The sequence below is a fragment of the Homo sapiens genome, chromosome 18, assembly GCF_000001405.40.
Source record: "Homo sapiens chromosome 18, GRCh38.p14 Primary Assembly".
NCBI lineage: Eukaryota > Metazoa > Chordata > Mammalia > Primates > Hominidae > Homo > Homo sapiens.
In genome coordinates, this window is record NC_000018.10 from 36,298,907 (window position 1) to 36,314,715 (window position 15,809).

The following is a 15,809-nucleotide window of genomic DNA, read 5'->3' on the forward strand; positions in this document are numbered from 1 at the left end:
TGAATGCAGCTTGCAAAATTACCTTCCCAGTATTTTTTCTGCCTAGGATTCATATCAAAGCTTGGAGATGATTTATTTCTTGAGGGTCGACATTAACACATATTTGGAAGAGATAAGCGTTGATGCCCAAAAGAACAAAATTGATTTAAAAAAAAACCTCGGATTTCTGTATGATGTTGACCTGCTTTGCAAGTAGAGGAGGAGGTTGGTTGTGTGAGGAAACTGGTGGACTTTAGCAGTGGTAGTTTCCTCTCTATTAATGTATCAGTGCTTTCCTCCTCTACTTAGTTAGTAACGTTTTCAGGAATAAGGAATGGGGCATTTCCATCTCATTCTCTCCTGGTTGGTTCAGGACGGATACAGTCGTGGAAACCTCTCTGGCCACAAAAGCACATTTGATTGGGAGACAGAGGGTCGTCATCATCCAGAGTGATGTATTCTGGATTCAGCTGATCAGAATCACTTTTGTAAATTATTTGGTTCTTCTCAATTAGTTGATTCAGTGAAAAGTTTTCAAAGAGCTTCTTCTACATCATGATTATTCAGGCCACTACGGTCTCTGATTACAGTGATCTTTTGTTGAAACCACCAAAGGCTCATAATTGTGGCCCTGTGACCTTGAAGTGGTTTCCTTGGATTTCAAACCTTATATACATGGGTTGACCTTTCAAGCTGGGAGCTGCAGTATGTTTTCATGTTTCCATGGAACAGCCCCACAGTCTTGATCCTGGTCTGGTAGGAGAAAATCCTGATGCTCCTCCACTGCCCCCCTCCTCACCCCCAACTAGAAGCCCCAGCAGAGCAGTTGCACTGGCTTGCAGAACTTTCTAAGGTGTCCCTTATGGAATGAACAGAACCAGAAGTGGTTCTACAGAGACCCTTGACCTTTGTTTTGGGGGCCAGCCAGCCTCAGTCTCAGAATCTTTTGCCCGAAGACCCCTGCAGTATATTTAGATGTCTGGCATTGTTTTTCCCATCTACAGCAGAGTGAGCAACCGACTTTATTGATGAGGGTTCTGTAAAGCAGAAGTCAGGGCATTTATGTGCCTGGGTATACATTCATATTGTTAAGATGATACTAATTTCCATCAGAGAATCTTAAAATTGGATGATCCACCTTGATAGAAACAGCTGGAGTTTCAAGCACTTGGCATGTAGTGTATGCCCCACCCAGGCTCTGAATGCATGGTTTCCTTTCATACTACACAGCTCCATAAGGTAGGGGCTTTGATTGTCCCTATTTTAGAGATGAGGAAAGTGAGGGAGAGTGACTAAATGACCCACTTTTTGTGCTAGAAGTGGGGAACTGAGATTCAAACCAGCCCTGTGTGACTCAGGGCGTCGGTGCTGTTCTGTTCTGGGAACCAGGTATATGGCTGTGGACAGAAGCCATGCCTCCCGGGCTTCTCTTCCATTAACTGGAGGGGTTCACCCGGTCACCTTCAAGGGCCAAGCACTTTTAGGCCTGGGGACAGGTGAATGTTATAAATGAGTAAAAGCCTTGAGGCAGAATTCCTGGCCTGACACAGAGTGCATAGTCAGAAGTGGTAACATATAGTTATCAACTCTGCTGTGAATTAGCTATTGAGGGGTCTGTTGACCTGGGTGAGCTATCATACCAGGACCCTGCCACCAGTGAGGCTTTTTGGGCCACAGGGCGTGCTTCTTCCGGGTCCCACAGAGCCTGGTATTGACAAGAAGTGGAGTTCTGTGCAGCGAGCGCATTCTCAGTGGTACAAAGAGGGGAGAAGCATGAGCGTGGGACAGGCAGACACTCAGAGTGCTCTCAGCTCTCCTGCACATTCAAGCCCCTGAGGGAGTCAACTTTTTTTTTTTCTCTTTCTTTTTTGTGACAGGGTCTCACTCTTGTCACCTAGGCTGGAGTGCAGTGGTGTGATCATGGCTCACTGTAACCTTGACCTCCCTGGGCTCAGGTGATCCCTCCCACCTCAGCCTCCTGTGTTGCTGGGACTATAGGCATGCACCACCACACCTTGCTAATTTTTTTATTTTTTGTAGACATGGGGTTTCACCATGTTACCCAGGCTGGTCTTAAACTCCTGAGCTCAAAGTGATCTGCCCACCTCGGCCTCCCAAAGTTCTGGGATTACAGGTGTGAGCCACCGTGCCTGGCTGGGAGTAAACTTTTGACTGAAGTGGTCACATATACAAAAAAGTGTACAGGGTATAAGTGTGCAGTTGGGTGAATCTTCTTAAAGTAAATGTACCTGTGTAGGCAGCGCTGAGAAGGCCCCCTCAGAGGGTCCTAATTTTTAAAGCTCTCCTAGGGATTCTCCTGTGCTGGCAACCTTTGAACTGGACAACCTGTCAGGCCTTTCCTGGCTGAAACTTGAGTGTGGACATCTTTTCTTAACCTAATGATGTAGTAACTTAGTTCACGTCTGCTGACTCCATTAGAAGTTGAAGTTGTTCATTTAATAAAATTGTCATCTTATGCAAAAATAAGAGATTGTGCTTATTATGCTTTATCATTTTTTATTTCTTAAACTGATACATTATTTTAAAAAACTTCATCTGCTTATAGTAGTTCTAGGGAATATGATTAAATAAACATTAGTTTTCTAACAAAAAGTTCAAATCAGGTGCCATATTCTCATTGGGGAGATGTTCATTTTGATGGTTATATGTTCTAGGTTGGGCTAAGCAAGACATTTAGTTTTTGTTTTGAAATGCTGCAAAAGTAAATGTTTATTTCTGGCTTAATATTTTAAAAGAAAAATGGTAATTATAGGAGTTCTAATTTAGAAAAACCTCTGCAGTAGCATTCATAGAATCATAGTCCTTTTAAAGCTTAAAATGTGTTTGGATTGATTTGTGCTACTGGCATTTAATGATCTAAGGATTCTTTTTTCACTTTGATAGCCAACACTGGAACTGTAGAATATTTTTACAAAACACTGGTGACTTTTTTAGTGTACATGTTAAAATGACAATTATTACTTAATGATTTAATTCAGGAAATGTTTTGTTGCCCGGAGTGAGCTGGACAGAGTGGAGTTATAATAGCTGTCATGTCCTAGGCATTTGCCTGAGCTGAGAACCATCCTAGAGGGACATCAGCTTACCAAGCCCATGGCCATTCGAGGGCCAAGTACTGATACTGTTGCAGCTCATAGAAGGAGAGACCAAGATTGGAAGGAAGTCACCTGGTCACATGAGTGAGAAGTTCCGAGTTGGCATGTGACAGCAGGTCTAAGCTCTTAAGGACTCCACTTTTGTGTCCTGAATGTTCTCCTTCCAGGCAGCCTGTCCACATTTCAGCGTGCATCCTCTCATTGGATTAGCCTTGAGTGTACTGTGTTCATTCCTTTCTCACTACCCTTGTCTTTGTGGTTGCCTCGCTGCCTCAGCTATCCCATCTGTAAACAGCTGATTGCAGTGAGGATAGAATCTAGCTACTCCAAGTGTGAGCTGTGTATCACCTGGGCTGTATTAGAAATGCACACTCAGGTGCTGCCACCGCCCCTCCCCCCCGACCTGCTGAATCAGAACACATGCTTCACCAAGATGGCCTGGTGATTTTTGTGCACACTGCAGTCTGAACAGCATGGATTACAGGTGATTTAGGTCAGGCTCTCAGTACATGGGGGTTCTCACTGTCTCCCCTGTTCTCAGATAACTTCCCTGAGGGAGAAGACCTGGCTGTTCAGTTCTCTGGTGTTTCCCTCGAAGCTAAGTAGTGCTAAGATAGAATGTGCACTAAGTTGATTGATTGGTGTTAGTTTTAGAACACAAATCCACTGGTATTATTGCACTAATGAATTTCCACCTTAATCCTCTTAAGGGACACATCTGTTTGCTACATTACATTAAGATTTTTAAAAGATGAGATCATTAGTAAACTTGGCAAGTGTGTTGTGTCATAGTATCTTAGGACAACACTGTTTTAAGAATGTTGTATGAACAGCTAAGAGTGTCTCCATGTAAGCAGAATCAAATCTGACTCCACTGTAATTAGCTCAGTTGGTTGGAGCCTTGCTATTGAGATCAGGATCATGGGATTGAACCCTTCATGGGTCAGTTGGCTTTGTTTCATGCATGGCCACAGACCATATCGGTAACCTAGCCAGACATCCAGCAGGTGCTGTCATGGCCTCTTGCAACGATCTGGGTTGGAATAGACTGGCATCAATCTTTGGGAAGGAAGGGGCTGCTATGTCATGAACTTATGCTGGAGGCTGCACTGTAGGTCTCCATGTATAGCTTTATTTATCCTCACAACAACTCTAGCAGGCAGGCAGATGAGGAATCCCCAATTAACAGATGGGGAAACTGAGGCACAGGAGGTTAAGCAGGTTGCCTAGGGCTATACTGCGTTTAAGTGAAGGAGCTAAGATTTAAGGTCATCTTTTTTTTTCCTCCAAATCCTATTGTTAACTCTGTCCCATTATTAGAAAATCAGCAAAGCCCATGCTCTCTGTGCAGATGGGGGTGGGGTAGGGTTGACTGCATTGCCTTTGCATGCGGCTGCCTGTCACAGTGCTGTGATTTAAGTGGTTGTGCTCTGGCAAGTCCTCCCAGGGTTGATGCTCTGTGTCTATGCGTTTTGTCCTCGGACTCCAACCTGAGTCCCTCTGGAAAACAACAGGACTGCCATTGCCCTCCCACTCTGGACTCTGAAATGTTAGTTCTTAATAGTGTCGACTTTAAAACAGATTAACATGCTGAGGCCAACTCAGGAACAGCCCTCCCCCACCCTCCTTTTCTCTCCATATTTTATCTCTCTCTGACGATGATACTTTTGAACACTTGGGAACTTTTCTGTCTTCAGAGGACAGCAATCACCTGCTCCAGGCAACCTCCACACCTCATCTCTCAATAACACTGCTGTTGCCTGTGGCTGGCTTAGAGGCATAGCTGGGTCCTCCTCTGCTGGCCATTTTCAGAGTCTTGGGTTTGTCAGCATCTGCTCCATTAGAGAGACAATCAGAAGATTTTTGGGGGTGAAGGGGGAGCTGGGGGACTGTTTCTGAGCTTTGTTCTGAACTAAGTTAGAAAGAATGGGGAAAATTAAGTTACAGTGAATGTTAAGCTTTGCCAATCAGCGCAATCCAGATTGTGAGAAATTACAGTTTCTCCAACAAATAAATTGCAAAAGAAAGAAAAAGGTGGAAGGAAACCTTAGATGAAAAGAGATTAAAGAGATACATCAACCAAAGGTAATATGTGGCTGTGATTGAATGCTGATTCAAATACATTATAAAATAAATATTTGAGATCACTTGAACATGTGAGCAGTGATGTTTAATATTAAAATTATTAACTTTAAAGTGTGATAATAGTATTGTGGTTAGGTTTAAGTAACAGTTTATGGCTTTCAGAGATACATACTGAAATTATATGATGTCTAGAATTTGCTTCAGAATAATTCCAGATAAGAGACAAGTAGGTGAGTCAATATATGGATGGAACAGGATAGACTGTGAGTTAAAGTTGGATTATAGGTATGTGGGGAGGGCTCATGATACTACTTTCTATACTTGTGCATATACTGAAATATTTTAATAAAAGAGCTAAAAAAATTAGGTTACAATTCCAATAGTCCCCTTGGGATCAGAGCTCTTTCATTAAGTGTTACTGTATGATCTGAGTGTGTTTTCTATGGCTGAGATAGCTAACCATCAGTGGATTTTTTTTTTCATACCTCCAATGATACTTTTCTTCCCACCCTGATTGTTGTGTTCTCCTTAGAATCTTAGAAAAACAAGTGTAGGGCATCTGTCTTTTTATGTTCAGGGTGTCTTTCTAGGCTCAATCAATTCCCATGATGAAGTAAACAATTGTCAGTTACATAAACTATTAGCTTAGTAAGCGAAATGCTAAGGTAGAGATATTATACCTGTGGTTTCAGTATATGCTCCTAAATTTTTATTACTAAACTGTGAAGTTGCTAAGGCTATAATAAGTGATAACAATATATAAAGGCACTCAGTTTCCTAAGGCTGTTGATGCCCATGACATGCCTGCATAGCCACACTGGGGTGTTGTCCAGTTCCCAGTGAGCCAGCTCTGCGTCCGCCTTCAGTATGCCTCAGAAGAGGTTCTCAGTTTACAGTGAATGGCAGTGATGCTTTAATGTACATGAAAATGTAAGTTGTATACCTTGGCACCCTTATAATTACAGTCAACATTGATTTTCTATGGGCAGATAAACTTATTTATGAATTAACTGTTAAAGAGGGAGGAAGATCAATTATTTTTTGAAAAAAAATTATCACCAATCTGCAAAATATATACCCAGAAGTTTCTCTGTTTTTAGAGACACATAGTAACAAATGGAATCTACATTGTATCTATTTACAAACTGGAAACATCCAACTCCTCTTCACCAGTTAGTTTTGTAATCTAGATGTTAAAATGTTAGACTCCAAGGAAAAATGTTTAGAGTTTAATGTTAGAAAAGAAAATCTTAAAATTTTTGATCAACTTGAAAAAAGGGAAAATGTTAAACAACTTGCAGTTCAATATAGAAAGGTATTCCTAGACTTGGCAAAAATGAAACAAATTAGTTTCTCTTTGAATATCTTTAACGTTCTTGAAGAAGAGAAAACCAAGAAGGAAACTCCTGTGGTGCTGAGGTGCCTCATCATGCACTGATTTTTATAGCAGAGAATGAAATGCCAGAGCTGTAACCAGAGTGTGTGGGACAAGCCCAAGATTTTTTTAAGTTCTCAGAATAGAAGATAACCAAGGCATCTTCTGACTGCTTGATCAGAGCCAAAGAGTGGCTTGGGGTGTATAGCAAATGAATTGATGGGCAAACACTACCAGCTTGCATGGCTGGACACTGACAGGCTGGAGACTCTGAGTAGTGGGGTGGTCCTTGGGGGAGAAAACGAGGAGGAGGGTCCCTCTGGCTAAACCAGAGCCACACACAGCCTGCAGCCAATCACTGACCACAATTTTGACTAAAGAAGTTTATACCAATTGCATTTTATATCACTTTAACAATTGTTTGGTTTTATTTATGATTTGAGGTCACCTTCTTCAACCCTCCCAGAGTCAATGAAAATGAGCATGTGGTGACATTGGGGTTGAGACAAGTCGTTGATAGAATACTGTCCCCCTCCTCTGTCTGTAGTGTGATTAAATGAAAGCAAAATGAAATATTGTTAAGGGTGCTACACCCTAGAAACCTAGCTTTTAACCCTTCTGAACAATAAGGAGGAAACTTATTTCTGGGAGTCTTAGTGGCTGTGGTCCTCTGATTTCATGACATATGTGCTTGCAGCTGGAAGGGCATGGGCGCTGGAGCCCCTGGGAGAGCAGCCAACAGAGAGGACATTTGCAGTGTCCAAGTGGTGGAGAGTGTGGAGGGCTCGGAGCACAGTCTACAGTGGCCCCTCTGAGGTGCCTCACTCCCACAGCCTCGAGTGTGTTTCTGGGCTCTGGGCTCCATTGTCTGTCTAAGGGTTTGTGTGCTGACATTGCACTGTCTTACTCACTGTAGTTTACAGTAGGTCTTGATGATGTCTGGTGGGGTGGAGGCTTCCTGCTTGCCTTAGAACATAGCCATTAATGGAAAGAGAGGAAAAGTTAGAACCAGATATGTTCCATTCAGTGATCTTAACATAGAGAAACAGGCTAGGCAACCAACTTGTGTGACCAGCCAAAGAGGAAAGAGACATTTAAAAAATAAGAGTCAGGTCATATCACTCCTCTGCTCCAAACCTCCCTTAGCCCTCTTGCCATTCAGGGCAAACTCCAAAGTCCTCGAGTAGTTGGTCCACTTCTCCATGAAGGCAGAGTTTTTTGTTTTGTTTTTGTTTTTTTTAAATCTGTTTTGTTTACTGGTGCAGCCCAAGAGCCTAGAACAGCGTCTGGCACATAGTGAGTGTACAGTAAATATTTACTGAGTGAGAGGATAACCGTGATTTAGAGTTAGAAGGGAGGAAGAATAGTCTGCTCATCCCAGCCATTTCCTTGCAGAAGTCCCTTGTGTAAAGCCTCTGCTAGGAGCACCTCCTGACTTCTTCATGTATCATAGTGACCAGTTGCCCTCCGGCCTTGGAGTATAGCCTTTCCTATTTTTGAGCTTTATTTTTTATTTTTCTGAGACGGAGTCTTGCTCTGTCGCCCAGGCTGGCATGCAGTGGCACAGTCTCGGTTCACTGCAACCTCCACTTTCCAGGTTCAAGCAATTCCCCTGCCTCAGCCTCCCAAGTAGCTGGGATTACAGGCATGCGCCACCATGCCTGGCTAATTTTTGTATTTTTAGTAGAGATGGGGTTTCACCATGTTGGCCAGGGTGGTCTCGAATTCCTGACCTCGTAATCTGCCCGCGTCAGCCTCCCAAAGTGCTGGGATTACAGGCATGAGCCACTGCGCCTGGCCTGAGCTTTATTTTTTAGAAGTCCATTTTTCCCTAATTTGTATTTGGAGCGATGGTCCTCATATCTCCACAGATGGGGATGGACATGGCCCTTGAAAATTAATTGGTTGTGCCCAAGAGGATGGAAATAGGGTGGATAAGCCACAAGAACCATGACCCCAGGGTTTGGTCATGGAGTGATCTGTGACCTACAACCTGCAGATAGTGTCTACGGGGGCTGCTGGAAGTGCCACACCTGTTACCTTCCCCTGTGGTGGCAGAAGTAAAGAGCTGTTTTATGCCCATGAGAAAGCTGTGTAATGTGGACTGTTTTTATTACTCAGATCAGTATGTGTTTATTGATGTGCATGTGTCTTGTACTCTAAAGTATCTTCACACTGTAGTTCCATGCAGCTGTCCACTTAAACTGTGTGTGTGGGTGGACACAGGATGACTTTGCTGGAGAGAGGTTACTACTGACAAAGCTAGACTCAGGGAAGGAAAGACTAACAAACAAGGATTTCTCCCTTATACAACAAAGCATCTGTTCCTGTCACAGAATGAACACATGGATACATTTGGAGACTACAGAAAAGCACTTTGAAGAAATACAAATCACTTTTCTCATCACCCAAAGGGAACCACTCTTAACACTTTTGTGTCTTGCCAGAATTTTAACATCTATTCATAATAATATCTGAATACTTTCCCAAGTCATTAAATATTCTTGGAGCACATCATCTTTAATGACAGTTAGGTAATCCAGTCTATGTATGTACCATGATCCATGTAACCATTGTTCCCAGGTTCCATGAGGGAAAGTGCTCTTTCTTCTTGAATGTTAAATTTGTCCATGCTTGGTACTTAATACATATTTGTAAAATGAATGCATGAATGATTGAACTATTGGAGGTTTAGGTAGTTGCCAATAAGGAAAATACAGATAGTGCTATAATACATACCTGCAGAAAAATAAATATTTTTTCTCATATTTGATTACTTCCTTAAGACGAATTCTCAATGTTTAGTTGCTGAGTTGAAGGATAAAGATTTCATCTTGGATAGGAGCAGTTACCCTCATTTTAAGCATTGGAGGTAGCTGGAAAGATGGTCTCTAAATCCATCTGGGGCAGGTGAAGAGCCAGGCCAAGTTATGAAGCCCAGCTCCAACCTGACTTCTTCCTTTCTTTGTGCAGCTGGTATCACCTCCAAGACTGACACTTGAACTCAGAATACCACCAGGTGGGATTCAGAGATGATTGTTAAAACCGTGAATAAATTACATGTATGTATCCCATTGTCTCTACCCATTTTGAAGAACAAAACTCATTCTAGGCTTTCCTGGCCATCCCTCAGACACACCCGGGCTGTGCACTGAGCACCTTCGGACCCAGGACACTGTGGGTCTCACTTCATCCTGTGGCTGCGTCCCTCCACCAGATGTAAAGCCCCAGTAGCAGGAAGCACATTAACTTACCTTTCATTTCAGAGTTCCTAGGACAGGGTCTGTTACATAGTAAGCCCCAACAAATATTTTTTTGAATATTTGCAAGAATGTTAAATGGAAAAAGTGCAACATATGTTAATATACATGATGATTGCAGCAATAGGAAAGTGTCTGTAGGGTGGAGCCTTAGCCTTCAGATCCCTAAACTGTCGCCATGATTTGTGGATGTTATAACTCCTCCCCCACACTGTAGGTGAGTGTGGTAGAACCAACTCTTCAATGTATCAAAAACTTGTTTCTGGCCTCCCTACTGAGTCCCTGCTAGATCCTCCAGCAGGAAAGTACAGCTTGCAAGGAAGCCCCATGTTGGCAAGAGAAGGCATGCTGTCCTGGATGGTGTGGGCATGCCTGGGGGCTCTCGTGGGTGGGGTGGGTATTGGGGTCTTCTCTTATGGAGGGAGACCAGGCCAGACTTAAGGCCTGCAGTTCACGATGGGGAAGTACCAGCTTGTGAGCCAGGTGCTCTCACTTGTACTGTTCCTAAGCCTTGTTTTCCGTTCCTGCCCATGCTGAGCCGAGGGGAAGAGCGTTGTGAGCTTGTGTGAGGGGGAGGGTCCCTGAGGCAAGTGTGGCCACAGTGGCTGCAGCAGCTCTGATTAATGGGAAATTCCAAGAGGAAGGTAGACCTGGGGAGAAAGGAGTGGTGGCTGCAGAGTCCAACTGCCCTTCTTGCCAAACACGGAGATTCTGCCTTTTGCCAACCGTGGAGGCTCTGCGTAGGAGATTTTATTTCAGGTGATGGTGCTCACCTTGGAGGGATCTGTTACTCATTCCCATATCAGATCATAGCTTCAGGCTGCAGGAGGACTCAGGCAGGCTCCTGACCGCAGCTTCTGTGAATCACCAGACACCGGCAGTCCGGGAGCGGCTAGTGTCTGAGCTGCCAGTGCCCGGAAGTGAGAGAGGTTATCCAGTCTTCCTGCTGCTCCTCCATCCAACCTCAGCAGCACCATGTGCCTGGGAGCAGGGAAAGGAGAGCTGTTGGGCAGTCCTGTCCAGAACAATAGTCAAGGATACGAGTGGTTTTTTGTTCCCAGAACTGAGTGCATTTTTGTGGACAGTGATTCATTACAGAATACGCCAGTACTAGAACCACAGCATGTCTGTGCAGTTTACTAGGCACTGGGACATAGGTTAGCCTGGCTGATCCTCTCATGACCCTGAAAGAGGGCAAGTGGGGCATTTGGGCCTCCGTCTCAAAGGTGAGAAAATGAAAATCAGTTGGTTCATGACCAATGCACTGTAATCACCCCTCACAGGGTGAAAAAATGAACTCAGCACATGGCTTCTGTTGTTCCGCCTGGCTCCCTGTCTCCATCTGTCAGAGATAAACCTGAAGGATGTGTGTTGACACCCAAAGAAGTGTGCAGAGTGAACACAGTCAGAGAAAAATGTAAGCTGAGTTGACATGACATTAAATGGAACAAGTTGGTGCTTAGTTTTACACAGGCTGGGGAGTAGAGCTTGGCTATGTGGTAAGCTTTATTTCTATCAATGCTACTGATCCCAGGAATGTGAAAATGATATCCTTTATTATGATGATGGGCTGGGGAAGTAAGGCATAAACATAATGCAAAGTGAAGTAACAACTGAAGGCAGCATATGACTCATGTCAAAGTGTGACATAGGCCTGTGGGGCTATAGAAATATCAACTTGGGGCCGGGTGCAGTGGCTTATACCTGTAATCCCACCACTTCAGGAGGTTGAGGTGGGTGGATCACCTGAGGTCAGGAGTTTGGGACCAGCCTGGCCAACATGGCGAAACCCCATCTCTACTAAAAAGTACAAAAATTAGCCAGGCATGGTGGTGGGTGCCCGTAATTCCAATTACTCAGGAGGCTGAGGCAGGAGAATTGCTTGAACCTGGGAGGTGGAGGTTGCAGTGAACCGAGATCGTGCCACTGCACTCCAGCCTGAGCAACAGGAGTGAGACTCCATCTCAAAAAAAAAAAAAAGAAAAGAAAAAAAAAAGAAATGTCAACTTGGGAAAAATCCACGTGGACTGCATGGCCTGGAAAGCCTCGTGGAGAAGGAGGGTGGGGTTTCAGTTGGTGAAAGGGAGGTAAAGGGCACCTGGTACAGGTGAGACACAGGTAGGATATGGGAGTCAGGATCAGGCTCCAAGGCTCTGGGTGGGTGAAGATAGCCCCCTGGAGGGATGTGGCCTGCAGCAGTGGGCCCGGGGCTAAGCTAATATATGGGGTTGACTGGGGAGCAGAGGCTGTTGTCAATGACCACAAACTGAATAAAAAATTATTTTCATTTCATGTAATAGAAACATGACAGAAAAGGAAAGGAAGAGGAAAGACAGACAGGAAGAAAATAATTACAGAAAAGATGACAGAAAGAGAATTGGGGCAAAGAAGAAAGGAGATGGATGGATGGGGAGTCACTGAAAGGCCACCTGTGTAGATAGCATGGGAGGAGGAAGGGAGACAGGGACAAGCCTCAGGATGTGTCTGGGCAGGGAGGGCGGGGACCCCTGCTGTTCATAGTCCCAGCCACTGCTAATTCCTGGTGAGCTGATTATCAAGTGTTAGCCAGTGAGGGCTTACGATGTGACCCTTTCTGGGAGCTTTCTCTCCTTCCTCCCTTTCACAGATGTTCTTGGGTGTCTGCTTGATGTCAGATTCTGCTGGTCCACAGAGTAACACAAATAAATGACACCAAGGGCTGGCAAAATGGTGCTGGGCTCCATGTCAGACAGACCTGAGCTCCGTGTTTCTAATGAAATCTTCGGACAGTAGCACCTCCCTCATGGGCTGTTGTGGACAAACACAAGGTCCTCATATTTTTTGTATGTCACAGGAGCATGCGTGGCCTCCAGCCCCAGGTGCCATGTGCAATGGTGAGCCATGTTCCTTTCCCAGCATTGTAGTCCCTTCCCTGCAGCTGTGCTATGAGATCTCCTCTTACCATCCCACACCTGCACCCCCACCACAGTGTCCCCACTCCCAACGTGGATCCTCACCTTTGACTGCAAAGACAAAGCAGACCACTCAGATGCAGCCCTGGCCCCTGCCTGCCTCAACCTCCACCTGCACCCACGTGCCCTGCTGTGCCCTCTTTGCTGATGGGGGGAGGGGGGACAGGTGCGCCCCTTCTTCTGGCAATGCCAGCCCTTTTCCACTGTGTCTTCACCCTCTCCTTCCCTCTGAGATCCTCCCATTAGCATTTAGGTGGGCTAAAGCCTCTTTTGTCCAGAAAGTCCCTCTTCCCTGGCCCTGGGCCCAGCTGTCCTTCTTCCACCCTTCAACCCTCAAGCCTCCCAGACCTGTCTAAGCCCCACTGTCTTACCTTCCCCCTGCCCTGTACCCTCCCAGTTCCTGTCACTACTGCAATAAAACTACTCTTGCTAAGGTACTTGTCTTTAAATCTAGTAGACACTTTTCCATTCTTGACTTATAGAATCTCACAGCAGCAATTGCTGTTTCTGATGGTCCCCTTTGAGGAATGCTTGCCGTTCTGTTTGATGGTGCGGTATTCACCTGCCCTCTCTAGTCCTTCTCAATCCTTCTGCTCCCTCTGGCTGTTTGAATGTTGGCCTTTCTCAGGTTTCTGTCCAAAGACCACACCTCCTCCTCACAGTCACCCTCTTTGTCCTGGATGGCTTTGAGGGCTTTCTGACGACCCCCTAGAGCTGACCCCTGGCTCAGCTCTCTCTGGGCTCTGAGGCCAAATACCCAGCTGCCCTTTGAACAGCTCGTCCTGGACGTCCCAACAGGCATTGAACCTGCCCCGCATCTAGATCAGATCTTGTCATCTTCCCACAGACCCATACTGCCTCAGCGAGGAGCATTGCCAGCCAGTTGCCCAAACCAACTGAGAACCTCTCCCTAGCAGCAATCCCTGCTCTGTCAGAATCACGTTCTGTTGATTATCCTGCCTCTTGGAGTCTACCTGCTTCTCCCTCTGGTCCATGTGTCATCCATGGCATATGGAAAGTGCTCAATAAATATTTATTGAATGAATGGAAAATAAGTTAATGTTTGAGAAAGTGTCAGTCACATGGGGATTGCTCAGAAAATGTGGGTGCCTATATTAGTTATCTATGGCTATGAATAAATCACCCCAAACGTAGTGGCTTCAAACAATCATATTTATTATCTCTCACAGTTTCCTTGGGCCATGAATTTGAAGGCAGTTCCTTGGGTGGTTCTGGCTCAGGGTCTGTCATGAGGGTGCAGCTGGATCATGGCCGGCCCTGGTATCATCTCAGATTTCTTCAGTCATATGGCCAGTGCCTGGGCTGGGAAGTGCCAATAGCTGGGAGCTCCTTGGGTGTCTCTCTTCATATGTCAATGGTCTCTCCCCAGGGTCTCTCTAGTATGGTGTCCTCAGGGTAGGTGGACTTCTTATGTGGCAGCTCCAGGCTCCAAAGTGAGAGGTCCAGGTGGGTGCTGCTCTCCCTATCTAGCCACATGCTCTGGCTGTACTCTACTTGTTAGAAGTGAATCACCAGGGCTGGCCCTCATTCAAGGGCAAGGGGGAATTAGATATCATTGTTTTATGGAAGAATTGCCAAAGAATTTGTGAACTTAAAAAAAACCTTCATATTTGGTAAAATTCACTTTTATTTTTGGTGCACAGTCCTATGAGTTTTCATATATGCATAAGTTTTTGTGACTGCCACCACTAACAGGACACAGAACAATTCCAGGAACCTAAAGAATTATCTCGGGCCACCCTTTTGTAGTTGTGCATTCTCAGAGGCCACTGATCTGTTTTCTTTCCCTGTAGTTTTGCTTTTTCCGGAATGCTATATGAATAGAATCATTTCGTGTGTAGCCTTTTGAGACTGGCTTCTTCACTCTGCACAGTGCCCTTCAGATCCAAGTTGTTGGGTGCTTCAGGAGTTCCTGCCTTTTGATTGCAGAGCAGTTTCCCCTGGTATGGATATCCCACAGTTTGTTCATCCATTCACTCACTGAAAGACACCTGGGTTGTTTCTGGTTTTTGGTGATTATGAATAAAGCTGCTCTAAACATTTGCATAGAGATTTTGTGTGAACCTAAGTTTTCATTTTTCTGTGATAAATACCTAGATTCTTTATTCAGCAGATAATTACCTGGCTCTCTCCTTAGCAGGGCAGTCAGGAGGTTTCTTATTTGGCAAGTTATCCTTTGTCCGAATAATTTGTCTTTTTTTTTTTTTTGAGACAGAGTTGCACTCTGTTGCCCAGGCTGGAGTGCGGTGGCATGATCATGGTCACTGCAGCCTCGACCTCCTAGGCTCAAGTGATCCTCCAGCCTCAGTCTCCTGAGTAGCTGGGGCTACAGGCATGAGCCACTGCACCTGGCCTGTCAGAAGAATTTGTCATTCGAGTTTCTGAACTTCAGAATGTAAGCACTTTTTAAAACACTGCCCACAAAAAAGATCATTCATTTAGATATCTTGTTTGTTCTTAATTCTTATGCCTCCCAAAGCCCTGTTATGGATGAATTGTGAGGCAAAGTACTGGCGTCCCCTGCCTCATGGCCTCATCATCCTGGGCTCTGACGTCACCCTGGCTCAAAACCCTCATTTCACAACTTTACACAGGGACAACGCCTATGACAGAGCTGTGTGAGAATCACTTCTCAATCCCCATGGGATACAAATCACCAGCCATTTTATCAATTAGCAAAATGGTGTAAACAAGCAAAGCAGCAAGTGGCACTAGAGAAATTAGAGTGTGAAAGGTGCACTTTGATCATTGCACACAGAGGTGATGTGAGCAGTAATGGAGGAATGCAGCCGAGTACATGTGGCTTTCTCTGTCACATCAGAGAATAGAGCTTTAGAGGAGGAGGTGGTAGGAACAATGGGAGGGGAACAGATATTTAAGAAGTTCAGGGGCTAGAGTATTAGATGTTTGGTTTTTGAATGAGTTTTATCTTCTCTTTGCTGAGGGCAAGTAAGGGTCCTAAAGTTGCCAAGGCCTCCAGATGGCCCTCCAAGGAGCCCCCTCATCAGGGCATCTTATACTT

At 44.9% G+C, this 15,809-nt stretch overlaps 1 protein-coding gene across 40 annotated transcripts in view; it reads left to right on the forward strand.

Annotated features, from left to right (window-relative positions):
* The window catches only part of FHOD3 (formin homology 2 domain containing 3), a 482,508-nt gene that overhangs the window by 1,194 nt on the left and 465,505 nt on the right, over positions 1–15,809 (forward strand). The window lies entirely within an intron of this gene.